Source organism: Homo sapiens, chromosome 8, assembly GCF_000001405.40.
Source record: "Homo sapiens chromosome 8, GRCh38.p14 Primary Assembly".
Classification (NCBI taxonomy): Eukaryota; Metazoa; Chordata; class Mammalia; order Primates; family Hominidae; genus Homo; species Homo sapiens.
In genome coordinates, this window is record NC_000008.11 from 126,882,909 (window position 1) to 126,910,493 (window position 27,585).

General features: G+C 39.2%; 1 long non-coding RNA gene across 1 annotated transcript in view, besides 1 other annotated feature; it reads left to right on the plus strand.

The window, feature by feature from the left end:
- LOC105375751 (uncharacterized) overlaps positions 1-27,585 on the plus strand; it is a 463,156-nt gene that overhangs the window by 325,033 nt on the left and 110,538 nt on the right. The gene's annotated exons all lie outside the window — the stretch shown is intronic.
- Positions 13,387-13,947: an enhancer, noted in NCBI's record as "OCT4-NANOG hESC enhancer chr8:127908540-127909100 (GRCh37/hg19 assembly coordinates)". NCBI's record gives its function as "activates a minimal SCP1, AML or CMV promoter by ChIP-STARR-seq in naive H9 embryonic stem cells {active_cell/tissue: H9 hESC(naive)}" and the evidence as "EXISTENCE:reporter gene assay evidence [ECO:0000049][PMID:30033119]".

Genomic DNA, 27,585 nt, shown 5'->3' on the forward strand with positions numbered 1-27,585 from the left:
CGCAGTTGCAAGCTCAGAGGTCTAGGGCAAGGTGGATGCTAAGCTTAGCTGGGATCAAAGTCTTTTTACTCAAAGACTTGCCCTCTTTTTCATTTATTGAGACAACAAAACTAATAGATGTCATTGGGTAAGACATTGGGCGTACATGGGACAGTGAGTGAGATAAGGTCTCTATATGCAGCTCACACTCTGAAGAGAGGAGAGAGACAATAAGCACATATAACATGAAATAATATTTTGATGAGGATTATCAAAGAAATATACAGGATAGTGTTAAAACAATTAAAATGGGGGGATCAGCAGTATAGCGAAGGGTAAGTGGTACAACCTTGGATAGGGGTTGAGAGAAGTCCTCATGCTCCTGGGTTCTTCATCTCACTTCATTGTATTTTCATTCAACAAATGTTTACTGGACTCACACTATGTACCAGAAAAGAAAATGGACAGAATCTGTATTCTTAGGGAGTTTACAATTGCAGAAGAGCTAGGGAATAAACAAATGAGGGAAATACCAGCTAGTAATAACTACTTTGAAAAGAAGAATAATAGGTTATGAGACATAGCATATTTTGTCCTTTTCCACTGAGGTTCCCTGAGAAGATTAAGTCCAGCTACTCTGTTGCATACATAGGATATAATAAGTTAATTTCTATGCATCTAGAATGGTACTGGTTATGTACAAACCCTTGAAACAACTGAACAACAAAAATCCAGTTACTAAAAGTATGTGTTGTGTTCTGTGATTCAGATGAGCAACACCAGTTGTGAAAAGTTATCAAAGGGAGGTATTGTTTAAGCAGAGCTCTGAATGTCAAGAAGCCAGGCTGGGTGTGGTGGCTCACGCCTTTAATTCTAACTCTTTGGGAGGCCAAGGTGGGCAGATCATGAGGTCAGGAGTTTGAGACCAGCCTGACCAACATGGTGAAATCCCATCTCTACTAAAAATACAAAAATTAGCCAGGCATGTGCCTGTAATCCCAGCTACTCAGGAGGCTGAGGCAGGATAATCACTTGAACCCAGGAGGCAGACATTGCAGTGAGCCAAGATTGTGCCACTGCACTCCAGCCTGGGGGACAGAGTGAGAATCTGTCTCAAAAAAAAAAAAAAAAAAGCCGGCCCTTGAGGGTCAGAGGATGGCAGGTATGGGGTAGTGGGAAGGGTCACTGCAAAGCCTTGAGGGCAGAGTCTGGCTTGGGTGCTCAAGGAACAGAAAGAAGCCAGGTGAGGCTAGGCAGGTGGATGAGAGGAGTGGGAAAAGAAAATGGTGCCAGAGAAGTAGGAGAAGGTAAATTATGGAGAACCTTATTACCAAAGTTAGGAGCATATATTTTATTCAAAGTGTGGGCAATAGTTTAGACACAGCCAATAATCAAAGAAGGAAGACCAGTTAAGATGCTACTAGGACATGTAATTAGGAGGTGCGGTAGCTTTATCCAATGTGGTAGTGGAATCAACAGGAATTACTGACGAATTAAATATGAAGGAAAAAAGAAAGCAAAGATAACACCTGGCTTTATGAGTGGCAGATGAAGGGTAGAGCCATTTACTAGGATAGGAAAGACTAAGAAGAAACACATTTGCAAAAATAAACTGAAGAATTCTGTTTTGGTTATGTTACAATTGAGGTGACTACTTGAATCCAAGCAGTAACATCAAATTGACTTCTGAGTATGTGAGTCTGGAATCTGTAGAGAAAGATCTAAGAGTCTTCACCATGGAGAGGATGTGGTCACCTAAAATGACATTGACGGTCCTGTAGGACTTATTGCCTGGCTTAGCATTTTCACACTCTCAAGATGGTCCTGTTTTGGCTGATTGATTACATCCTTGTTCTCTGTGTAGAAAATATACATGGCGAAGTAAAAGGAGTCTAGGGAAGACCCCAGGACATCACAACACATAGAGGCTGAGGAAAAGAGGAGGCGCACAAGAGATTGAGGGAAAAAATAGTCATTGAGGTAGGAGGAAAACCAGAAAAACATGGTGTCACACAGACAAAGGAAACATGTTTCATGAAGACAAGATAAGCATGTCAAATGTTGCTGGAAGTTCAGGCATGCAAAGGACATCCATGGGATCCGTACATTTCATCTGCTGGAAGTCATGGTTCCAGGGGATGGGACCATGACTCTCTATAGGACACAGAACAACCTGGGCCTGCAGAAATCTAGGCTATAGCATCACAGATGAATTAAGGACGGTGTGTGGTGTACATGGAAAGGCCATGGAGTATTTCGTTTTAGCATGCACAGAACAACTGAGACAAATTTAAATTTCTTGAGATAAAAGAACAATGCCTTGTCAACGACATTGGCTGATACTAAGCTTAGAAAACGTAGACATTTATTTCAGAAAATAGAGAGCCTCCAAGGGCTCTGGCTTCCCAATAATGTTCCTACTACTGTTATTGCTACTATCTGTTACTACTTCCACTACTGCTTCTGCACATCATTTCTTCTAACTCCCAGGCCAGTGCTGTTTTCCAGCAGATGATGCTGTCTCAGCAAAGCTTCTTGGCTGGTTATATAAAAGGCAATGGGGGAAAGAGTTAATTGGCAAACAGAGTGACTACATTTGCAACCCAAGAAGGCCTGCTGTGACTTGTTATCTGCAGAGCTAAGCAGCTTGCTGTACAAGTGATATTCGAAGCTCATTGCTGTTAATGCCAGTGGGGCCACTTAACACCTTCCCGTAAATGGTCTCAAGATTAATATCTTGCCATTTATTTTATGTTATTTTTCCCCTTTGGAGAGAAGTCTTTCCTCATTTTTCGCCTTCAGGAGTCAGAGCTGAGAGAAGGTCAAACCCGGGGTGAGATGCGAACCTGACAGTTCCTTTCAAACTTCTCCCTGTGCAGCATGAATCATAGAGTTGGAGAATTACTCAGCAGAAAGGAAAGTGCATGGGCCTTGGAATCACAGACCTGTGTTCAAATTCTTAGTAACTAAATGAAGGAACTATTTAATTCATCTCAGCATTATTTTCTTTTCACTTGTTAAAATGAAAAGACACAATGAAATCTGTATCTGAGGGCCTTTTTTGAACAACTCACTCTAATATGGCTTCTACTCTCTCCACTGGATAAAACTAATCTTGAAGTGCATGTTCATTACAATTGATGCACATTCTTGCCTGAAACATATTTCTGTTACCTCATGCATTCCTAGTTTTCTTTCTACCACCCTGGTTACACTTGTTCAGTCTTCTGTGCTAGCTTTTACTCCTCTATCTGATCTCAGAATATGAAAATAAGCCTTCTTCCCTCTTCTTAAACACTCTCTCTAGATAATAGTCATCATTTCATTAAACACCATGCATGTGCTGACAACTCTCAGATTTATCTCCATAGCCTAGATGTATCTTTGGAGATATGGTCTAGTTTGTCCACCTGCCCACTTGCCATCTCCACTTGGATGCCCTTTAAACATCACACACTAATATACCTATGAATCTTGAGCTTCTCCTTAAAAAACCATTCTACTCCAAGTCTACCACATCTCAGTAAATGACACCATTACCAACCTTATGACCCCAATTAAAAGCCTAAGGTTCATAGTAAATCCCTGTCTTCTGCCCTCCATATAAAATACATCTGTACCTCATGAGGATCCTATATCCAAGTGATATGATTTGGGTTTGTGTCCCCACCCAAATCTCATGTCAAACTGTAATCTCCAGTGTTGGAGGGGAGGGGTCAGGTGGGAGGTGATTAGATCATGGGGGCGGAGTTCCCTCTTGCTGTTCTCCTGATAGTGAGTTCTCATGGGTTCTGGTTGTTTAAAAGTGTGTAGCACCTCCTCCTCTCTCTTTCTCCTTCTGTGACCATGTAAGATGTGCCTGCTTCCCTTTCACCTTCTGCCATGATTGTAAGTTTCCTGAGGCCTCCCAGCCATGCTCCCTGTAGAGCCTGCAGAACTGGGAGCCAATTAAACCTCTTTTCTTTATATATTACCCAGCCTCAGGTAGGTCTTTGTAGCAATGCGAGAACGGACAATATACCAAGGATATCTTAAATTCATCAATTTCTCTTCATCTCCACTAGTACCTCCTAGGAGGCATATTTTTCATTTTCCCCTCCAGATCCATTTTTCAGCCTTCTCCAACCTGCATGATTCCTTGGCAGACTGAGCTGTATATACTACTATCAATAAACTCCCCAGCCTTTGGAGCGGCTAATTGGATTTAGCTAGTGGAGAGTACTAGCGGGAAATTGGAGAGGAGAAAACTGCGGTTGGAGTGTGTGTTCCATGGGCTCCTCTCTTTCAGGATGGCCGTAGACTTACAGGGATCCTTCATAGAAGGTGTCATTCCCGTCAGGAGGCAGCCTTCTGTCTCCATGTTCTAGTTAGCCCTCCCTCTACTTGTGCCTCTGTGCCCTGTGTAGTAATGGCTCTCCACTGGTCCTTGTCTGCAAGGAACTGCACAGCTCTCTGTGTCTTTCTCACATCCTGCCTTGCATGATCCCTGTATTTAACACCCCCGAGCTATCCTTCTTTGAAAATGCTCTCTATTTCCTGCTGGGAGCATGACAGTTTCTGTTTTAAGTATTCTGTATTTTGTATTTGAGTCACCAAAAAACAACAAAAAAACAAAAATCACTGTCCTAATTAGCCTCCTACACTTACCAAAACCAGCCTAATAAAGTCACTGCAGCAGAACTGAGTGGTCATTTCAAGACTTATATCATTTCACTTCACTGCTGAAAATATTTAAGAAGCTTCCTTTTGCATTACAATAACCTCCTTATTAATGGAATTAAGTCCCTTCATGATCTGGCCCCTGCCTACTCCTCAAGCATATTTTGTGCTTTTCTATGGCTTTGTTTTTTGTGCTTCAGTCATGCAGATATAATTAAATTCTTTAAAACACTCCAAGCTCTTTGCTGCCTTGTGGATTTCATGCAAGTTCCTATTTATGCCTAGACTCCTTTCCTCACAGAGAACATGCATATTTGCCTCCTCTTATTGCTGAGGTTTCAGTTTAGTTGCCACCTTTTCAGAAACACCATTTCTGACACCCGTCCTAAAGTAGTTCTTTCTTCATCATTCTTTGCCATGGCTTTGTGTTATTTTCTTTCATAGCAATGACTTCATTAATTATTATTTATTATTTAATTATTTAATATATGTATCTCTTCGGTACACTGTAAGCATAACTCCATTGTGGTGGTGGTGGTGGTTTTTAATCTCACCCCATTATAAACAATGTCTATCATATAGTAGGAGCCTGATAAATATTTATAGATTGAAGGCATTGGTCAGGTGCAAATACCTGGCTCATAGTATATGTTTGTTTATTGAGCATGTACCATTTAGCAAGTGCTTTATGATCCCTGAATGTTTGTTAGTAATATTAATAAGATAATCAAGTCCACTCTTTCTTCAGGTACTTCTGGTTATCATGGATGGATTTTTGAGACATAATTCATAATTCAAATATTTAGGGTAATTAATCAATTGATTTTCATAATGGGGGGGCATGTAGGGATACCTGTTCTCTAATTGTCCTATTTTCTAAATACCAATCAAGTTTGATGAGTCAGAATACAGAGAATGAAGCAAATTTACCCGCTTACAAGCTTGGGAAATAGGACCTGTTGGTGGAGAAGAGTACTAATCTATTCCAATAGATACATATTGTTTTTTTTTTTAATTATTTATTTATTTATTTTTTTATTATTATACTTTAAGTTTTAGGGTACATGTGCACATTGTGCAGGTTAGTTACATATGTATACCTGTGCCATGCTGGTGTGCTGCACCCACTAACTCGTCATCTAGCATTAGGTATATCTCCCAATGCTATCCCTCCCCTCTCCCCCCACCCCACCACAGTCCCCAGAGTGTGATGTTCCCCTTCCTGTGTCCATGTGATCTCATTGTTCAATTCCCACCTATGAGTGAGAATATGCGGTGTTTGGTTTTTTGTTCTTGCGATAGTTTACTGAGAATGATGATTTCCAATTTCATCCATGTCCCTACAAAGGACATGAACTCATCATTTTTTATGGCTGCATAGTATTCCATGGTGTATATGTGCCACATTTTCTTAATCCAGTCTATCATTGTTGGACATTTGGGTTGGTTCCAAGTCTTTGCTATTGTGAATAATGCCGCAAAAAACATACGTGTGCATGTGTCTTTATAGCAGCATGATTTATAGTCATTTGGGTATATACCCAGTAATGGGATGTCTGGGTCAAATGGTATTTCTAGTTCTAGATCCCTGAGGAATCACCACACTGACTTCCACAGTGGTTGAACTAGTTTACAGTCCCACCAACAGTGTGAAAGTGTTCCTATTTCTCCACATCCTCTCCAGCACCTGTACATATTGTTATATTTTAAAAATAGTTATTATTCATATTAAAGTGGATTCCAGCATAAATAAATAAAGGCTTTTGGATAGATTTACAATCTGAGACTTCTTCACCTAGTGGTATTTATCTGAATTAGAGGAATAGTACTAGGAAAAAACCAACAAGCCTCTTGGACGCTACTATTCATTGCACATTTGAACCAAGACAGATAATAAACACAAATAGATATAATAGTTAAATAGCACCTGTTAAATTTTTAGTTAAAATTTTTTTACCTATTTGGGTAATGAGAAAAATTATAAGTGACTCCAAAAGGACTTAGATTAAAGCAAGTGTTGGGTTTTTTTCGTATAAGTTTCAGATATAGGAGAAAACCTTGAGTGGTTGTCTTTAGTGGACTCATGGCATGTGGGGTGGGGAAACAGAAGAAGCAAAATAGCACCATTTTATAAGTGAGGCAGCTGAGGGTTATAGGGATTACATCTTGTCCAAGGTCAAAACAACCTTTCTGAGTTGGAGATGAGGACGCGTACCTGAGTACCTGCCTCCTGGTACCATGATGGTCAGATTCAGAAGTCCCCTCCAGGCCCACATTTCCATTTTCTTAAATTTATGTTCAGCAACACTTTATACCATGTGTGGTGATTTTAACAAGGTGAATAGTTAAACCTAGGAGTCCTTTCATATCCCTATTCTTACCTTGGCCCCATAGCATCTTCATTAAGTTGGTATTTTGGTTAAAGTGAGACTCAGAGAAGAAAGATCCCTGCTTTTTGGGAATGTAAACTCGTACAACAGTATGGCAGACAGTACGGAGATTCCTTAAAAAACCAAAAGTGGAACTACCATTCGATCCAGTAATTCCATTACTGGGTATCTACCCAAAGGAAAATAAGTCATTACATGAAAAAGACACATGCACATGCATTTTTATGGCAGCACAATTTGCAATTTCAAAAATATGTACTCAACATAAATGCTTATCAACCAATGACTGAATAAAGAAAACATGGGATATATACACCATGGAATGCTACTCAGCCATAAAACAAATAAAATTATGGTCTTTGCAGAAACTTGGATGGCCATTATTGTAAGTGAAGTAACTCAGAAATGGAAATCCAATTATCATATATTCTCACTTATAAGTGGGAGGTAAGCTATAAGGATGCAAAGGCATATAATGGAATGATATAATGGACTTTGGGGACTCAGGGGAAGAGTGGAAGGTGGGTGAAGGTTAAAAGACTAAACATTGGGTACAGTGTATGCTGCCTGGGTGGCAGGTGCCCCAAAATCTCAGAAATCACCACTAAAGAATTTATCTATGTAAACAAAACCACCTGTACCCTGAAAACTACTGAAATAAAATAAAAATTAAAACTAAAAGAATGAAGGTGCAACAACCATACACAAAAAAATTTACCAGCTTTCCTGTGGTCACACAACCAGAAAGTGACAAAATAAGGCCTCAAATTGTGGGTGTGCTGATTCCAGTTCTTATTGTCTTTTCACTTTTTGGTGTAAAGACAGTGAAAACAGCACAGGTCTCTGTTCTCTTTCTTTCTGTTTTGAGGCAACAATTTTCTTTTAACACCTGTAACAAAAGTGTGGTACCTTATTTCTCCCTAAAGGCCGAAGGTTGGTGCCTTCCTCTGATGATTGCCACAGGCGGTCATCTGTTATCACCTGCTTCAGTGTGGAGCCACTTACAGAATCATGAAAAGAGAATTTACCCTAAAGGGTCTTGCTCAATAAACGTGCCGAGAAGAGGGAAGTGAGAGGGAATGGAGCTTTTCCCCACTGTCTTTACATAATTACTTTCTATAGGCAATGTTATAGCAATGTATAATTACAGGCATATAATAATAACTCTTGTTCTCAGGCCCAGAATTCAGGCTATGAGGTTTTGCGTAAGTAGAATCTACCTTTCAGTGCTGTGTAGAGGAGAGGAATTGGGAAAGATTTTGGAGGGCACAGACTTGGGTTCAAAGTACAGCTTCATCACCTGCTGGCTTTGTAGCCTTGGACACAAAGAACATCTTTGACTCTTGCTGCTTTATTATCTCAAAGGATACCTCAATGGGCTTTTGAAAGTTTAACTGAAAAAATGTATGGAAAATATATAATAATAATATAGTAACTAAAATCAAATAGACACTCTAAAAATGTTTATTTCCTTCTCCTTCTCCATCCGATCGTGAGTAATACAGACTTTACCATAACATCTGCCAAGGGCAATGCAAATGAATCCTCTTTTCATCTTGAGAGGCAGAAGGCATGCATGTAGGGAATTGCTAAAAGTTGTGATGCTGTAAGCCTATCCAGAAAACCAAAGGCCAGTGGGTTAATGCCCCCTGTCCTCAGTGAAGCTACAATACATGATACAATGAGAACATTCTGTATGGTTTGAAGCTGAGAAGTTTCAAGCTAAGATAATTAATATGAATTGGCCAAAGTACACCCAAAGTAGGATATGAGTCAGTTGAGATCCCAGACTTCTGGCCTAGACAAGATCTATTCAAATCCAACTCTATTGGCAGAGTTTATTTTATTTTTAGGACCTATTTTTCTAAAGATTTAAAATTCTTCTCTAAAATCATACCCTAGTCCTTCTTATTTTCTTATCTAGTTTCTCCCTTTTTTTAGGAATCCCTTTAGGCCACAACTTTTGCTCAGGTGTAATAATAATGTTCCTCCTACTGCTAAAAATAATAATGGTCAATATTAACGCAATAATGATATGTGATCATTTATATTATGTAATCTATTCATCAATTTTATAAGCATATAATAGCATTCCCACTTTACAGAAAAGAAACTGAGCTTATAGAGGTAGAGTAAATTGTCCATGGTCATTAGAGTAGATGGCAGGGCACTTCTAGGTCTGTCTCATTCTAAAACCCATATTCTAAATATACTTTTATATTCTAATATACTATCTTCATTCCAGTTGTGTATACATTAAATGTCTAGCCTCTTTTCCATACATTTAGGAGTAAATAATATTGCTTTTTAATGTATTGAATTCTGTCCCTTAATAATAGCAACAGATTTATAGTTTCTATGAGTTTTCCAGAGATGAAATGGCTGCTGACTCATCTTCAGTTGATAACTCAAAACATCATACACTTAACACATCCATGGCATCGTGGCCTTCTCTACCAAACCTGTTTCTGCCCAAATCATACACTGACATGTCATAAAATGGCACCATTGTGAACCTAGTGTCTTAGGTGAGAAATTTGGGATTCCTTCTTACCACCTCGGTCTGTTTCACATGTCACATTCTACAAATCAGTAAGTCCTAATGCTTTTACCTCTAAAATCTTAATTAATCAACATTTCTCTATTTCCATTGCCACTGATGTTCTGAGCAGAGGTTGGAGCACTCCTGGATAGAGGTGTCAGAGAGGGTATTTGAGAATTAGATGTGGAGCTTATTCAATGGGCTCTAAATTCCCCTCAAATTATGACACTTCATGAACTTATCTTCTCTATTGTATGTAACTCTCAAAAGGAGGTATTTAAGGGCTCAATGTGGCAAATGTAAGAAAAGCATCATTGATAGGAACATGTAGATAAGCACTCAGGCAGCTGTGGGCTGGACTATTTTGTGGAGCGGGTTTTTTGTCTGTGTGGTTTTGGCTCTCTGTCTCTCTCTGTCTCTCTCTCTCTGTCTCTCTCTCTCTCTCTCTCTCTCTCTCTCTCTCTCTATATATATATATATATATATATACACATATACATATATATATGTACTTTAAATTCTGGGATACATGTGCAGAACATGCAGGTTTGCTACATAGGTATACTGTGCCATGGTAGTTTGCTGCACCCATCAACCCGTCACCTACATTAGGTATTTCTCCTAATGCTATCCCTCCTCTAGCCCCCTACCCTAGGACGGGCCCCGGTGTGCGATGCTCCCCTCACTGTGTCCATGTGTTCTCATTGTTTAACTCCTGCTTATGAGTGAGAATATGCAGTATTTGGTTTTCTGTTCCTGTGTTAGTTTGCTGAGAATGATGGTTTCCAGCTTCATCCATGTCCCTGCAAAGGACATTAACTCATCCTTTTTTATATGAGGAGCTTTTTTTTCATGTGTTTGTTGGCCACATAAATGTCTTCTTTTAAGAAGTGTCTGTTCATATCCTTCGCCCACTTTTTGATGGGGTTGTTTGTTTTTTTCTTGTAAATTTGTTTAAGTTCTTTGTAGAATCTGGATATTAGCCCTTTATCAGATAAATAGATCACAAAAATTTTCTCCCATCCTGTAGGTTGCCTGATCACTCTGATGATAGTTTCTTTTGCTGTGCGGAAGCTATTTAGTTAGTTAGATCCCATTTGTCAGTTTTGGTTTTGTTGCCATTGCTTTTGGTGTTTTAGTCATGAAGTCTATGTTCTGAATGGTATTGTCTAGGTTTTCTTCTAGGGTTTTTATGGTTTTAGGTCTTATATTTAAGTCTTTATTCCCTCTTCAGTTAATTTTCGTATAATGCATAAGAATGGGGTCCAGTTTCAGTTTTCTGCATATGGCTAGCGAATTTTCCCAACACCATTTATTAAATAGGAAATCCTTTCCCTGATGCTTGTTTTTGTCAGGTTTGTCAAAGATCAGATGGTTGTAGATGTGTGACATTACTTCTGAGGCCTCTGTTCTGCTCCATTGATCTATATATCTATTTTGGTACCAGTATCATGCTGTTTTGGTTACTGTAGCCTTGTAGCATAGTTTGAAGTCAGGTAGCATGATGCCTTCAACTTTGATCTTTTTGCTTATGATTGTCTTGGCTATACGGTCTCTTCTTTGGTTCCATATGAAATTTAAAGTAGTTTTTTCCTAATTCTCTGAAGAAAGTCAATGGTAGTTTGATGGGGATAGCATTGAATCTATAAATTACTTTGGGGAGTATGGACATTTTCACGATATTGATTCTTCCTATCCATGAGCATTGGAATGTTTTTCCATTTGTTTGTGTCCTTTCTTATTTCCTTGAGCAGTGGTTTGTAGTTCTCCTTGAAGAGGTCCTTCACATCCCTTGTAAGTTGTGTTCCTAGGTATTTTATTCTCTTTGTAGCAATTGTGAATGGGAGTTCACTCATGATTTGGCTGTTTGTCTATTATTGGTGTACAGGAATGCTTATGATTTTTGCACATTGATTTTGTATCCTGGGACTGCTGAAGTTGCTTATCAGCTTAAGGAGAATTTTGGCTGAGATGATGGGGTTTTCTATTGTACACTTTGGCTAGCGTGCAGTCATTTGTAGATGACGTGCAGGTAATCTTTCCAAACCGAATTCTAACACAACGGCAAGCATCCGGAGTCTGATCTGTGTGGGAATTCCAACTCTGTCAGAAGTGTGCATGTGTCACCTTGGGCTCCTTAGCCTCTCTCAGACATAATTTGCTCATCTGTCAAAAAGATGATTCCTACCTCACATAGTGAGTGGACAAAATGAGATCATAATGCTGATGATGATAAAGATAATAACGTGTATTTATTTATTTATTTCAAGAGCATTGCATGTCAGATAAGTGACAAGGATGGAGAGCACAAGAGAGACACGGTTCCTATCATTGGGGAGTTTATTATTTACAGTGATAGACAGGTGTTAAACAATACTCATACAATGCTATGTAGATAATCATTCTAATAACAGGTAAGACTCATCGGCACCTTTGCTATGCTAGGTAGTCAAAGTGTTTTACATACGTTATTTCATTCAGTCCTGTGGTAGACCTCCGAGGTAGACACTATCATCACCCCATTTTGTAGATAAAGGAGCTGAAGCACCAAGAAGTGAAGTAACTTATCCAAGATTTTCCAACTACTAGTTGACCAAGTCCAGATTTGAACCCAGGCTGCTTGGCTCTTTACAATCTCCTATTATACTGACAGTGTCAAGAAGGCAAACAGTAGGGCACTGTGAAATAACATACTAGGGATGCTGACATAGATTGATTAGGGTGTCTGGGAAGCCTATCCAAGGAAGTAACATTTAAGATGAACTTTAAAGGATAAGTAAGAGCCAGGGCAAGAAAGTTTGGAGCAAATACTTTGACATGGGTGTGGAACAGACATAGATCAGGTGGGAGGAACCTTGAGAATGAGAGGGGGACCAGGGCAGGGGAAGCTGCAGAGACCAGCAAAGGACCAGAACAGGCAGCACTTTAGAGGCTGTGCCAGGGACTGTGGATTTTATTTTAAGAGCAAAGAGATCATTGCAGATTTTAATCAGGTAATGACATGATATAATTTTCTGAGATCTTGGTAGGTATTGGGTATTATGATATGCTGGGTATAGTAGAGTAGATGGCATCCTATGAAGATTACATTTCTTAAAATCTCACAGGTGGTATGTGGCTAATGCAGAGTTTACTATGAGGCTAACCTGTTTCCACAGCCTTAACCTTAACCGTGCATGGTCCTGTATAGGGTGTACCGTATATTCTATGTGATAAATACCTCTAATCTACCATCTGGTATAATTCCATCCAGTCCTATTGCTTTCAGTCCCACTCTCATGCCAATGACTCCCACATTGATGTTTCCAGTTCCAGTCTTTCCTGGGAATTCCAACTCAGCAGTTGACTTGGTATCTCCATTTGTATGCTTATTGGCATCTCAAACTTAACATGTGAAAATATGAACAACTGATTTCCAGTTTTCAGTGGCGGCTTCATTATTCCATTGCCCGGGTTATATAGTTGACTGTCATCCTCCACTCCTCTCTTTAGTGCCCCAAAAGCAATCTGTCAGCAACTCACATTGGCTCTACTTTCAAAACATAGCCCCCTCCCCTTTCCGAATGCAAATCACCAGCATCTCTCCCCTCATTCTTGTTAAAACCTCCTCATAATTCACCTGGCTTCTACAGTTATAAAACTGTTTTGCAGCTTTTCCTCTTAGAGTGAAAGAGAAAGTTTTCACCATGGTCTATAAGACTGTACCTGTTTTATTTATTTTTTTATTGCTCATTTGTTTACATTTAGTCTGTGACTACTTTCATGCTATAACAATACAGTTGAGTGGTTGCAACAGAGACCATATGGCCCATGAATATAAAATATTTATTATTTGGCTCTTTGCAGAAAGAATTTTCTGATTCATGCTCTATGTAATCTTCACATACTCCCCAAGATATGCACACACATACACATACTTCTCTGACCTCGTCTTCCAACACTCACACCCTTTCCTACTCTGTTTTAGCTACATTGGCATCCATGCAATGTCAGAAACTTTCTCAGAATGTCCTTACCTCAGGGAAGTTTACTTGCCTTTCCCACTGTCCGGAGGACCCTTCACCCATGATCAAATGCATTCATCCATTCATATGCAAAGCTCCCGAGCTTCCTTTCAAGGTTTTTGCTCAAATGTCATGTGATTCAAACACTCTCTTCAGGTTTCCCTGGTTTAAACAAAGAAACAAACAAACAACACCCTCCCCTATTGGTCTCTTTCATTCTCATCTTGCTTATTTTTCTTTGTACCCCTTACTTCCACTGACAGTGTGTAACTTGTATATTCTCTGTCCCTTGACTACAATGTAAACACCATGAAAGCAGAGACTTCATTTTATTCATTCCTTCATCATCTGTGACTTGAAGAAAGCCAGGTATGTAAATGCTCAATTACTTTTATGAATAAATGAATGCATGAGAAAATACTTGGACCATAGTAGAAAATGTCAGCATAAGTTCTAGAATATTCCTTGGGTGCCTGTCATGTGCTAGGCACTTACTGAACACTTTCACATACATTGACTTCATGTTTAACCTCTCACAAACCTTGGTAGGAAGGGGCCCTTGTTTCTCTTCTGTCCTTTCCATTAAAAAAAAAAAAAAAAAGATATCCCTGAAACAATGGGCTGTGAAAGCTGTTGTGTACTGAGGGGCAGGAAGAGGCCATGTCTCCGGAATACTCACAAGTGACAATTTCTGAGGTCTGAGCCACTTCTTCCCTCCAGGTGGCTGCTGAGAAAAGCACTATCTCTTTAAAATAGCTCACATCATTAAGATGCTAATAATAAATCATAGTTATGTGATTTTTCCTAAAAAGATTAAATCCAGGATCCTTCCCCAGAAATCCAGTTCCCGCCACAATGGGCATCCTGTTTACTATGCTCTCAATAATAGAGTCCTAACTGGAAGATGTCAGAGTGAAATTAAAGGTCAAAGCACATATGGGTGTAGCACTTTTGAATTTTTCTTCTTTGTTGAATACCAAATACAGATATGCATCTCAAAACACTGCCTAGAGCCAACCTTCTTTTTTTATTGTGGCAAAATATACCTAACATAGCATTTAACATTTTAACTATTTTGAAGTGTATAGTTCAGTGGTATTATGTACATTCACATTGTTCTGAAACTGCCACTACTGTCCACTTCCAGAAATTCTTCATCTTGCAAAACCTTAACTCTGTACCTGTTAAACCATAACTCACCATCCCTCCTTTCCCCAGTCTCTAGAAACAACCATTTTACGTTCTGTCTCCATGAATTTGATTACTCTAGGTACTTCATATAAGTGGAAACATATAGCATTTAACCTCTTGTGACAGGCTTATTTCACTTAGCAGTATGAATTCAAGGTTTATCCATGTTGTAGCATGTGTCAGAATTTCCTTCCTTTTTAAGGCTGTATAATATTCTATTGTACACATATACCACATTTTGTTTATCCATTCATCTATTGATAAACACTTGCATTGCTTCCACCTTTGGACATATTGTGAATAATGCTGCAATTAACATGGTTGTGTATATATCTCTTTAAGACCCTGTCTTTAATTCCTTTGGGTATATAACCCAGAAGTGGAATTGCTGGGACATATGGTAATTCAGTGTTTAATTTTTTGAGGAACTGCTATATTGTTTTCTAATCAATCTTTTATTAAATTTGCCATAGGTAAAATTTTAAAATCTAGATTAAAAGACTGGCTTTGAGAAATGTTACAAAAATAACAAAAGTGCTAGTCTTTCACCCAGTTTCATGTCTCATGACTTAGTCACTGACTTCCCAGGTTGCCCTAAGGACCACTTTATTGTTACACTAGGGTGCAAGCATTCTGTCTTTTTTTCTTGTGTTTTGTTCCCCAAGTGAGTCAACTGAGGAAGCCAAGAAGGCTGAGGGAACAACGCCAAGCTTTTTGTAATTCTTCCTTCCCTTTTCTCCTAAAATCACCAGCTCAATATTATCTGACCCAAGCCCGAGAGCTATGTATCAAGGCTATTTACTTGTAACCCATCTGTGACCCTGTAAACCTCTGAAGGGGCATTAACAGACCCTGACAGACCAAGGCTAAAGGGCTGGAATCATACAATGTTAAATTATGACCTGGATTGGAGTATTGCGCCATGTGAATGTCTGCACTTTTTGGAGTCATGAGGAGAGCCCTGGAAATGGGGATTAGGCCCAGCATCAGGCTCTATTATATGTTCTACTCCTAGTTTATTTAATACGATCTTGGCCAAGATATTTAACCTTCTCTAAGAGTGGATAAATTCTTCTCTTAATGCTACGTTTAAATAAATAGTAGTGATATGGTTTGTCTCTGTATCCCCACTGAAATCTCATCTCAAATTATAATTCCCATGTGTCAAGGGAGGGACCTGGTGGGAGGTACTTGGATCACGGGGCAGTTTCCCCCATGCTGTTCTCATGATAGTGAGTGAGTTCTCACAAGAGCTGATGATTTTAAAGTGTGGCACTCCCCCCCTTGATCTCTCTCTCTCTCTCCTGCCACCATGTGAAGCAGGTCTTTGCTTCCCTTTCACATTCTGCCATGATTGTTAAGTTTTCTGAGGCTTCCCCAGTCATGCAGAACTGTGAGTCAATTAAACATTTTTTCTGTATAAATTATCTAGTCTCAGGTAGTATCTTTATAGCACTGTGAAAACAGACTAATACAGAAAATTGGTACCAGCAGAGCAGGGCACTTTTATAAAAATACATAAAAATGTGGAAGCAACTTTGGAATTGGGTAATGGGCAGAGATTGGAGCAGTTTGGAGGGCTCAGAAGAAGAAAGGAAAATGTGGGAAAATTTGGAACTTCCTAGAGACTGGTTGAATGGTTTTGATCAAAATGCTGATAGTGATATGGACAATGAAGTACAGGCTGATGTGGTCTCAGATGGAGATAAGGTACTTATCGGGAACTAAAGGAAAGGTCACTCTTGCTATGCCTTAGCAGATAGACTGGCAGCATTTTCCCTTTGCCTTAGAGACCTGTGGAACTTTAAACTTGAGAGAGATGATTTAGGATATCTGGCAGAAGAAATTTCTAAGCAGCAAAACATTCAAAACGTGACCTGGCTTTTTCTGAAGCATATAGTTATGAGTTCACAAACAGATTATCTGAAATTGGAACTTATGTTTAAAAGGGAAGCAGAACATAAAAAGTTTGGAAAATTTGCAGCATTACTATGCAGTAGAAGAGAAAAACCCATTTTCTGGGGAGAAATTCAAGCCTGCTGCAGAAATTTGCATAAGTAATGAGAAGCTGAATGTTAACAGTCAAGACAATAGGGAAAATATCTCCTGGGCATTTCAGAGATCTTCAAAGAAGCTCCTCCCATCACAAGCCTGAAGGCCTAAGAGGGAAAAATGGTTTTGTGGGCTGGGCCCAGGGCCCTTTGCTTGATGCAGCCTTGGGACATGGCACACTGAGTCCCAACAGCTTCAGATCCAGCCATAGCTAAAAGGGGCCAAAGTACAGCTCAGACCATGGCTTCAGAGGGTACAAGCCCCAAACCTTGGTGGCTTTCATGTGGTATGGGCCTGTCGGTTTGCAGAACACAAAAGTTGAACTTTGGGAGCCTCCACCTAGATTTCAGAGGATACATGGAAACACCTGGATCTCTAGGCAGAAGTTTGTTGCAGGGGTGGAGCCCTCATGGAGGACCTCTACTAGGGCAATGCAGAGGGGAAATGTAGGATTTAAGCCCTCACACAAAGTCCCCACTGGGGCACTGCCTAGTGGAGCTATAAGAAGAGGGTCACCATCCTTCTGACCCCAGCATGGTAGAACCACAGACAGCCTGTGCTGTGTACTTGGAAAACCCACAAGCACTCAATGCCAGCTGACAAAAGCAGCTGTAGGTGCTGTATGCTGCAGAGCCATAGAGGCAGATCTGCCCAAGGCCTTGGGAGCCCACCCCTTGCATCAGCATACCATGGAAGTGGAACATGAAGTCAAAGGAGATTATATTGGAGCTTTAAAATTTAATGAGGTCCCTGCCAAGTTTTGGACTTGCATGGGACCTTGGTCCCTTTGTATGTCCAATTTCTCCCATTTGGAACAGGAACATTTACCCAGTGCCTGTACCCCCATTGTATCTTGGCAGTAACAAACCTGTTTTTGATTTTATAGGCTCATAGGTGGAAGGGACATGCCTTGTCTCAGATAAGACTTAGGACTTGAGCTTTTGAATTAATGCTGGAATCAGTTAAGATGTTGGTAAGGCATGATTGGCTTTTAAATGAAAAGGGACAACAGATTTGGGAGGGGCTAGGGGCAGAATGATATGATTAGGCTTTGTGTCCCTGCACAAATCTCATCTTAAATTGTAATCCCTACGTGTCAAGGGAGGGTCCTGGTGGGAGGTGATTCGATCATGGGATGGTTTCCCCCATGCTGTTCTCATGATAGTGAGTAAGTTCTCATGAGTGCTGATGATTTTAAAGTGTGGCACTCCTTCCTTTGATCTCTCTCTTTCTCCTGCCACCACGTGAAGAAGGTCCTTGCTTCACCTTTACTTTCCACTGTAACTGTAAGTTTCCTGAGGCCTTCCCAGCCATACAGAACTGTGAGTCAATTAAACATTTTATTTTTATAAATTACCCAGTCTCAGGTAGTATCTTTATAGCAGTGTGAAAACAAACTAATACAGTAGTTTCCTAGAAGAAAATAAAATATTACTCAGAATTGCAAAATATGTTATATACAATAGTAAAAATTATTTCCTTTAAAAAAAGATGGAGGCTGGGTGCAGTGGCTTATGCCTCTGATCCCAGCACTTTGGGAGGCTGAAGCAGGTGGATTACTTCAGCCCAGTAGTTTGAGACTAGCCTGGGCCACATGGTGAGACCCTATCTCTACTAAAAATTTAAAAAAATAGCTGAGTGTAATCCCATTACTGGGAATGTACTCAAAGGGTTATAAAGACTATTCTACTGTAAAGACACAGGCACATGTATGTTTATTACAGCACTGTTCACAATAGCAATGACTTGCAACCAACCCAAATGCCCATCAATGATAGACTGGATAAAGAAAATGTGGCACATATACACCATGGAATACTACGCAGCCATAAAAAAGGATGAGTTCATGTCCTTTGCAGGGACATGGATGAAGCTGGAAACAATCATTCTTAGCAAACTAACACAAGAACAGGAAACCAAACACTGCATGCCCTCAGTCATAAGTGGGAGGTGAACAATGAGAACACATGGACATGGGTAGGGGAACATCACACGCCAGGGCCTGTGGGGGGTTGGGGGGCTAGGGGAGGGATAACATTAGGAGAAATACCTAATGTAGGTGACGGGTTGATGGGCGCAGCAAACGACCATGGCATGTGTATACCTATGTAGCAAGCCTGCATGTTCTGCACATGTATCCCAGAACTTAAAGTACACATAAAAAAACAAAAACAATAGCTGGGCATGATGGTGCATGCCTGTAGTCCCAGCCACTTGGAGGCTGAGATGGGAGGATCACTTAAGCCTGGGAGGTCGAGGCTGCAATGAGCCATGATTGTGCCACTGAATTACAACCTGTGTGAAAGAGAGAGACTCTGTCTCAATTTAAAAAAAAAGAGGGGAAGAGATTGAGGGTCAGAACCTCATGGACTCATTGTCACTCATTTCTTCTCTTCTTGGCCCAACTTTTAAAGACTTCTGTAGCTCCTTTTGGTACTCTAGTGCTTAGTAGAACTTAGTTAGGAAGCCAGTAAGATAGATATCTAGCTATTGATATCCAGCTGTAACATGCATTTCTTGAAGTTCTTAGAGACCCCAATATGGAAGTTTCTTTATGAACTGGCTTTCTAAATTCAGTTTATAAAACAGTTGTTCATCAAAAGTCTAAAGATGCAATAATACATCAATGATGATTCCTGCCATCTGTTGGTTGTGGTCAAAGCTGATGGGGTTTTACTCTGATTCACTGCTTTGTTTACAACTATTTAAGTTTGTCAATGTTTTAGAGATGAGAAAACTGAGGCTTAGAGAAGCTGTGTGATTTGGCCAACGCCAGCCTGTATGTGGAGAAGCCAGCATTTGATTCTAGGAAAATTTGTCCTTGCAGCCTATATTTTTAAAAATTCCACATGATAGTCACCTTTTAGAAGCCAGAAGTTGATAAGTAGAGAAGCTTTTGTATACAGCAGATATGAGAGGCAGGAGGTACATCCACTGGACTGTCCACCACCGTTGTCCCAATACCACCGTGAGAGGTGCCCATCCCTGGCCAAAATCACCAAACTTGTTCCCTGCAAAGAACCAAGTCTCCTGGGCCAGCCCTGTGCAGAGCTCTTCAGCAAGTTTCAGAGATTAAAGTGATTCAGTTAAAGGTTCAGAGCTACAAAACAATTTATTTGGTCTAAGATTGGATCTTTGGGATTGAATTCTCCATCAATTTCCACATCTCTTTTATTCCTTCTTTTTGCCTCATAAGGGGCTTGTCCTTTTTAATTACACAGGTGCTTCTTCTTCTTTCTTATTTCCTTCCTCAGAGCTCCCTGCAGAGATTTTGCCACAGTTGATTGATAAGAAGATATTGATTCCAAGGTCAGAGTTCAGAAATATTCTTATAAATGAATCATCTTGTTAATAAAGGGTCACCCAAAAAGTTCGAGGATACAGATGTTGCTGAAATCAGAGCTCTCAGCAATTGTAGCAAGAGAGATAAAATGGCCCAATGTCCCCTGCTCAAGAAAGTAAATTAAAGGAAAGGAGAGATAGAATCAAAATTACCATTTATCAAGCGTCTATAATATGGATGCAAGAGTCCTGTTTCTACAATACAAACCTTATGACCTTGGGCGAGCTTCTTACCATCCCCAAATCTTAGCTTCTTCAACTGTAAAGTGGTATCATTAACATCTTCAAAGGCTGTTGTCAGGATTAAATGATGTATGTAAAGTGCTTTGCACAGCTGCTGTCACATAATAAACAATATAGAAATGGTCGTTGTTAACTAGCATTATTGGAATTATTTGTGCTTTTGTTTAACCATCACCAGTATCCTAAGTGATAGGCATCAACTAGAATTCTAGGTTGGAAAATCATAAAGCAAAGATATTACACAACTCTTGCTTGTTGCTAGTGCAACAGTGTTTCTCTTTATGATTTACATATGAAAAACAGACCAAGTGATGGCTATTAGAAAAGGGAGGGATGTAGAAAAATAAAGCCAGCTGAGGGGCAGAACTTGTGCATTTTGCAACCATCCTCAGTTTAATGTTTGGCATTCAATCCTCATTACTGACTATGTATGGCTTCACAATAAATCAAGAGTGTGCTATATGAGAAAATGAAGATTTATACAAAGCGAAATTGAACAAATGGTGAATAATTGATTTAGCTGACCTGACAACACCCACTTATAAATAACACAGAATGTTTTACTTTGGCAGTAATTTAGTTTTCTGGGCATCCTGGCTTCTAGCAATTCTCTATAGCGGCCCAGTGCTTTCTGACTTTCCCATACAGAAGAAAAAAAAACTTAGATCATGAGCTCTGTCCTCCCAGTATCACCCTGGCATGATCTATAGCAAGTATGGTTCACATTAGACATTCCCTGAAGAATGTACCGATCCTTTATTTAGTCCTCTGATTTAAGAATATAGTTTGGCCTCTACATAGCAAAACTTGAGACATATTTAGTTAGCTTTAAGAATTACAGTGTTTACCAGTCTTATAATACAGTCTTAAGAAAAAAGTAAAATAAACAACATAACTATAAAATAAACCATATTGTGTCATTGTTTAAAATGCCTTTGCTGGCCTCTGGATATAATACATTTCATCTTAGAGCACATTAGTGTAGGAAGCATTTATTTCCAAGTTTATTATCCCAAAGAATGGTATAGATGAATATACAAATCCTTGGGCATATCCACACCAAAGGCTATATGAATTCAGAGATGGCTTACTAAACAAGATACAGAAGCAAATGAGGACATTTTGGCAGACATCTTTGTAGCATTCCAGAATCATAGAATATTAGGATTGAAAGTGTCCTGAAGAGATTATTCTGTTTAACCTCTTGATTATAGGCTCAGTTTCATTCAATAAACATACAGCGAACTTCTGGAATGTGACAGGGATTAGGCTGGGATTAGGTGATGGGTATGTTTAGGGAGGGGAAATGAAAAGGAAAAAAAAAGGCAAAGTGTCTGGCATAAAAGAATTTCTATGCTACTAGATGCAAAATTTGGGTACACATGGACTGAGGCAAGTACCATGAGGTTAGTGTGAATAAAGTAGTAAAGAAACAGTTGAAGGGGAGACAACTTATTCATATTTTTAGCTTGGCCAGCACAATATCATTCTTTTTTTTTGTTCCAAGGCAGCATCTTGCTCTGTTACTCAGGCTGGAGAGCAGTGGAACAATCACAACTCTCTGCAGCCTTGACCTCCTGGGTTCAAGTGATCGTCCTACCTCAACCTCTCAAGTAGCTAGGATCACAGGTATACATCCCCAAGCCCAGTTAATTATTTTTTATTAAAAAAATTTTTGAATGGATGAGGTATCACTATGTTCCCCAGGTTGGTCTCTAGCTTCCAGGCTCAAGTGATCCACCTGCCTTGGCCTACCAAAGTGCTGGGGTTACAAGGATGAACCATCTCATTCAGCCAATATCATTCTTACATGAGCTTCACTTTACTTCACTCATTCATCAAAAATCTATTGACCATCTTCTATTAGCCAAAATACTGTGCCTGAGTACTTGGGGATGCTGAATGCAGTAGTCATGATCTAGCTTTATCATGAGTCTAAAGTCTAACAAAGAAGGTTGATATTTGGATAGGAAATTGTGGTGTTGTGAGTATTCGGAAATATTGTGTTCCCTGCTCAGATAGACCTGTATGTAACTGGCCTGAAATACTGTAGGAAAACACAACCCAAACAGGCCAGAGAATTATTCTCTGTTTTTGGTCCCTCCTACTTAAGTCGGAGAGGTGAGGCATATGAATGAGAAGATAATTAGCTTGTCTTTATTTAAAAGAATAGACTTCAGGCCAGGTGCAGTGGCTCATGCCTGCAATCCTAGCACTTTAGGAGGCCAAGGCGGGTGGATCACCTGAGGCCAAGAGTTTGAGACCAGCATGGCCAACATGGTGAAACTCTGTCTCTACTGAACTACAAAAAAGTAGACGGGTGTGGTGACAGGTGCCTGTCATGTAATCTCAGCTACTCGGGAGGCAGAGGCAGGAGAATGGCTTGGACCTGGGAGGTGGAGGCTACAGTGAGCTGAGATCGTGCCATTGCATTCCAGCCTGGGCAACAAAAGCAAAACTCCATCTCAAAATAAATAAAAATTAAATATAGACTTCAAATAAATATGAGTTGTGCGGAATTTTGCTTGGCAAAATATATAACTGGTAAACTGAAGAGATCATTGTAATTTCTTGCTACAATTTCGTGCAGTGGAATACTTTCCGGCCTGCAAATCAGGGGTTCTGAATTCAAGTTTCAGCTCTGCCATGGAAGTAGGTGTGTATCCATACTGGTAGGGTCTTAATTATATTGAACCTTGGTTTTCTTGGATGTGAAGTGAGGAAGTTACTCCTGCTAAACTCTAAGTCTGTTCTTCTTTTGACAAACTCATGACACGGGAAGGCTCTTTGGCCCTGTCACACAATTAAGCTGGAATATATTTCTAATATATGCTTCAGAAAGAGAGCCAGTTGTATTGCCTACAGGTGTCACATTACTGATATTCTGTTAACATTGATAATGCATCAACTCCCAATTTTTTGTTTTTATGTGTTTGAACAACCAACATTTGAAAGGCAAATCTTCCAACAAATCATATCCTAAAGTTATTTTTAATTACCAGTGAGAAAATGATTGCAGCAGTCTGCATGGGCTTTGTGCATGGGTTTGTCATTTGGGGTTGTGTGACATTAAGGATCTTTATAACCCTGGATCTCAGTTTTCTTGTCTTAAAAACAGGACTGATTATAGTGTCTGCCTCATTGGGCTATTTAGCATAAATAAGACGTGTAGTGTAACCATGGTGTCTGGCAGATGGTAAATTCTTAATGATTATAGCTCCTATTGATGTGGGCTTTCCAGCTGACAGTGTTGTACCCTCTCTTGAGTTCCTTTTTTATTGGATTGATTTCTACTCACATAGGTGGAGAATGGTAAGCCTGGGACTTGAACCCAGGCAGATATTGGAGACTGTACTCCACTCACTTCACTGTCTCTCTGATTACTTTTAAAAGTTGATGACTTTTAAACATTAAGACTCATTGACAACAAAATAAAATTTAAGAAAAAAGCTTATTAAGAAAAGACCTATTGATAATATGAGTCTTTGAAACTCTTTTCCTGGTGGACTTTATATACCTGTAAAGGACTTTATATACCTTTATAAAGGTATACACTTTATATACATTATATTGTTAACTCTTATTCCACCCATTAATATTAGAAATATAACAATTCTTTTGCTTTGTCTTAGGACCAGAGTTATAGTCCAATTAAGTTTTAGTCATGATAGGACATTAGAATTTCAAAGTACATTTGAGAAACATCATTAAAAAGGATACATTTTGGAAAGCTTTTCTATACCTGAAAGTACTGAGTCCTCATCTTTTATGTATTAACTAATTAGTGTATATCAGAGGTCTCTGATTTCTTGTTTGCATAAAAACTAACTAGCTTTTTGATTTAGAGGAGTGAGTTATTTGAAGAGTATGATGGTGAAACAATAATAGAAGCTAGTGTTTGTTGAACACATGTACCAGGCACTTTTATAGTTTATTGTATATATTATAGATATTTTACTTTACACATTTTATTACTATTTTTATAATAATCTTGCAAACCAGATATCATTATATCCATTTGACTGATTGTCCAGATTGAAATCAAGATGAACCCATCTCCAGAGCTCAGCAACTTTCACTTCCACTTTGCCAGCCCAGAGTGGAAGGGAATGATGTTTACAGGAGCAATGGAAAGGAGCAGCCTTGCTCCAACTGGCTAAAAAAGTGTGTGTGTGTACTTGTATCGGTATGTGATTATTTTTGTGAACTAGGATATTGTATACATTCAGAAGATAATACTATTAAAATGAAACAGGTCATGAGACTTTTTGCAAAAAAAAATTTATATAAAGAATAACTATTCCATTATAATTAATTTGGGAAATCTTCATTTTGATCTAACAGGTGAATTTAAATGAGCTAGATGCACATTCTGCTTTTACTCATGACAACCGTGATGGTGTCTCTGATTTTGCCTAGCAGGGGTGTGATCAGACGAATGAGCATACAAATATTGTGAAAGAAAGACTGGCTGTTAAAAGTATAACAACTTACATTCATGTAGAACTTATTTATTTGTTTATTTATTTTTATTAGTTTTTTGAGACGGAGTCTCGCTCTGTTGCCCAGGCTAAAGTGCAGTGGCATGATCTCAGCTCACTGCAACCTCTGCCTCCCAGGTTCAAGTGATTCTCCTGCCTCAACCTCCCAAATAGCTGGGATTACAGGTGCCTGCCACCACACCGGGCTCATTTTTGTATTTTTAGTAGAGACGGGATTTTGCCATGTTGGCCAGTCTAGTCTCGAACTCCTGACCTCAAGTGATCTGCCTGCCTCAGCCTCCAAAAGTATTGGAATTACAGGCATGAGCCACTGCACCCAGCCTCATGTATAACTTTAGTAATCTTACTATTTCAGCTTCACAAGGGCACTGTGAAGAAGTCATCTTTTCATTGTCCCTATTTAATAGATAAGCAAATGAATTTTAAGAGAACTTGAGAGCTTGCCAGACTTCAAACAACAAGACACAGAATTAGGACTTAAGCCTTAATCTTTTGGTGCCAAAAACAATGTTTCATCTAGCCTACACTGTGTTTTGGTGGAGTAGGTTGAGGAGAGGGTCTCCAAGAGTGTTTGGCAGCAATAACCAGCACAGGCAATTATTTGCATAGCAATAATAAGCACAGATTGGTATTCCTTTGATGTTGTCAATTTTTAATCAAGTACTTAGGGTCACTTGAAAACAAAATTTAAACTACCAGATGTATCCCTTGCAGTTCACGATCTGATGTTTTTGCTATTGCGTTTAAAAAATTATTTCATAAAGTTTACAAGTAAATGAAATTTATGCAAAAGTCATTGAGCATATATTATTCTCAATGGAGCTCTCATTTTAGAAGGATGAAGATAAATGTATGAATCATTATAATAGATTTGTCATGTTTTAGAATATTTACTATGGATGTTGTGGGAGAATGGATGACTTCCTTCCTCTTGAGGCTGGTATTAAAGGTAACCTTTATGCAGCTGATGATATTTAAATTGGGTCTTAAGTTGGAAAAATCTGTAGGCATTCACCAGAAATGCTTAGGGAAAACTGAATTCAGGTTGAGAAAAAAAGCATTTGAATAACATGAAACTGTGAAAAATCAAGGGATTTTTTTAAAAATAGCAAATAGTAAACAATTCAATGTGTCTGAAACATAGAAAATAAATAGGAAATGTATGTAGACAAAATTGAACAAGAAATTTGGTATTTAATTGTGAGGAGCCTAGTCTGTCTTGCTGAAGAGTGTAGAGAATATCCTATGAGCACTGGGAGGCCATTGAAAATGTTCAAAAAAGAAGTGGGATGACCAGATGGGAGCAGGAGAAATATTTCATTGGCAGCAATGTGGAGAATGCATGAATAGGCTGAAAGCAAACAAGGGCTGATGCAGTAATCCTGTCAAGAGATGGGAAGACCTGGGGCAGTGGCAGGGGAGACAGAGAATACGCCCCCAAAGAGAAACCTAGCTTTGTGGGAATGTTTTCGAATAGCTTTTGTAGATAGGATTTGTAGCTTCCATCTCACACTCCATATGTCTTCCTCAGAAGAAGAGCTAAGAATATTTCCTTCCTTCCTTCCTTCCTTCCTTCCTTCCTTCCTTCCTTCCTTCCTTCCTTCCTTTTTTTTCTAGACAAATTTTTGCTCTGTCACCCAGGCTGGAATGCAGTGGCGTGATCTCAGCTCACTACAACCTCCACCTCCTGAGTTCAAGCAATTCTCTTGCCTCAGCCTCCTGAGTAGGTGGGATTACAGGTGTGCTCCCCAATGCTTGGCTAATTTTTGTATTTTTAGTATAGATGGGGTTCCACCATGTTGGTCAGGCTGGTCTCGAATGCCTGACATCGTGATCCGTCCGCCTTGGACTCCCAAAGTGTTGGGATTACAGGCGTGAGCCACTGTGCCCAGCCTGATTTATTTTTTAAAAAATACAAAAGAAACCAGCCCTCACTATAACCAGTGAAGCAGTTTGAAGCTATGAAAAGAATAGCTAATAATGTTCCCCCACACTATCCTTTTCCCCCAGGAAACCAATATTAACAGCTTGATGGGTATCTCTGCATCTGTTTTCAATGTTCTTGCAAAACATATGGACATATGTTTTTGGTGTTTTTTATTAGAAACATCAAATTCATACATAATTGTCTATGATTTACTTAATTTCTTTATTAAATATCTCACTTTTAGAACACATTATGGACATCCCTTGAGGGTAACAGATAGAAATAAAACTCACCTTTTTAGATAGCTGAATAATATTCCTTGCATGGATATGCCACAATTTGTGCAGTCTTTTTCTTATTTGTGTATTAGGCTTGTGTCTTTTTTTCTCACTAGAAACTATTAAATGATATTTACATATTTTTAATTATATTATCTAAATAATGGCTACAGAAGTTTTAAAATAATCATTTTGCATTTTTTACACCTTGAAAGGACCTTACACATGTCAACCAACCTCCTAATTTACAGATGAGGAATCAGAAGTATTGAACAAGGCAGCGAAGCACTCAATGTCACATAAATAGTTTGGTAGTTCCTCTGGAGCCAGAATCCAGTTTCCTGAGAGCAAACTAGCCCTGTTTTCACAGGGGAGGTATTTATAGGGAACAGAGATTTCGATTCCTAAATGGCTGGGGATCTGTAATCACAAGGAATCCACATTTAGAACTGTTCTTCCAGGCCTGATTTTAATCA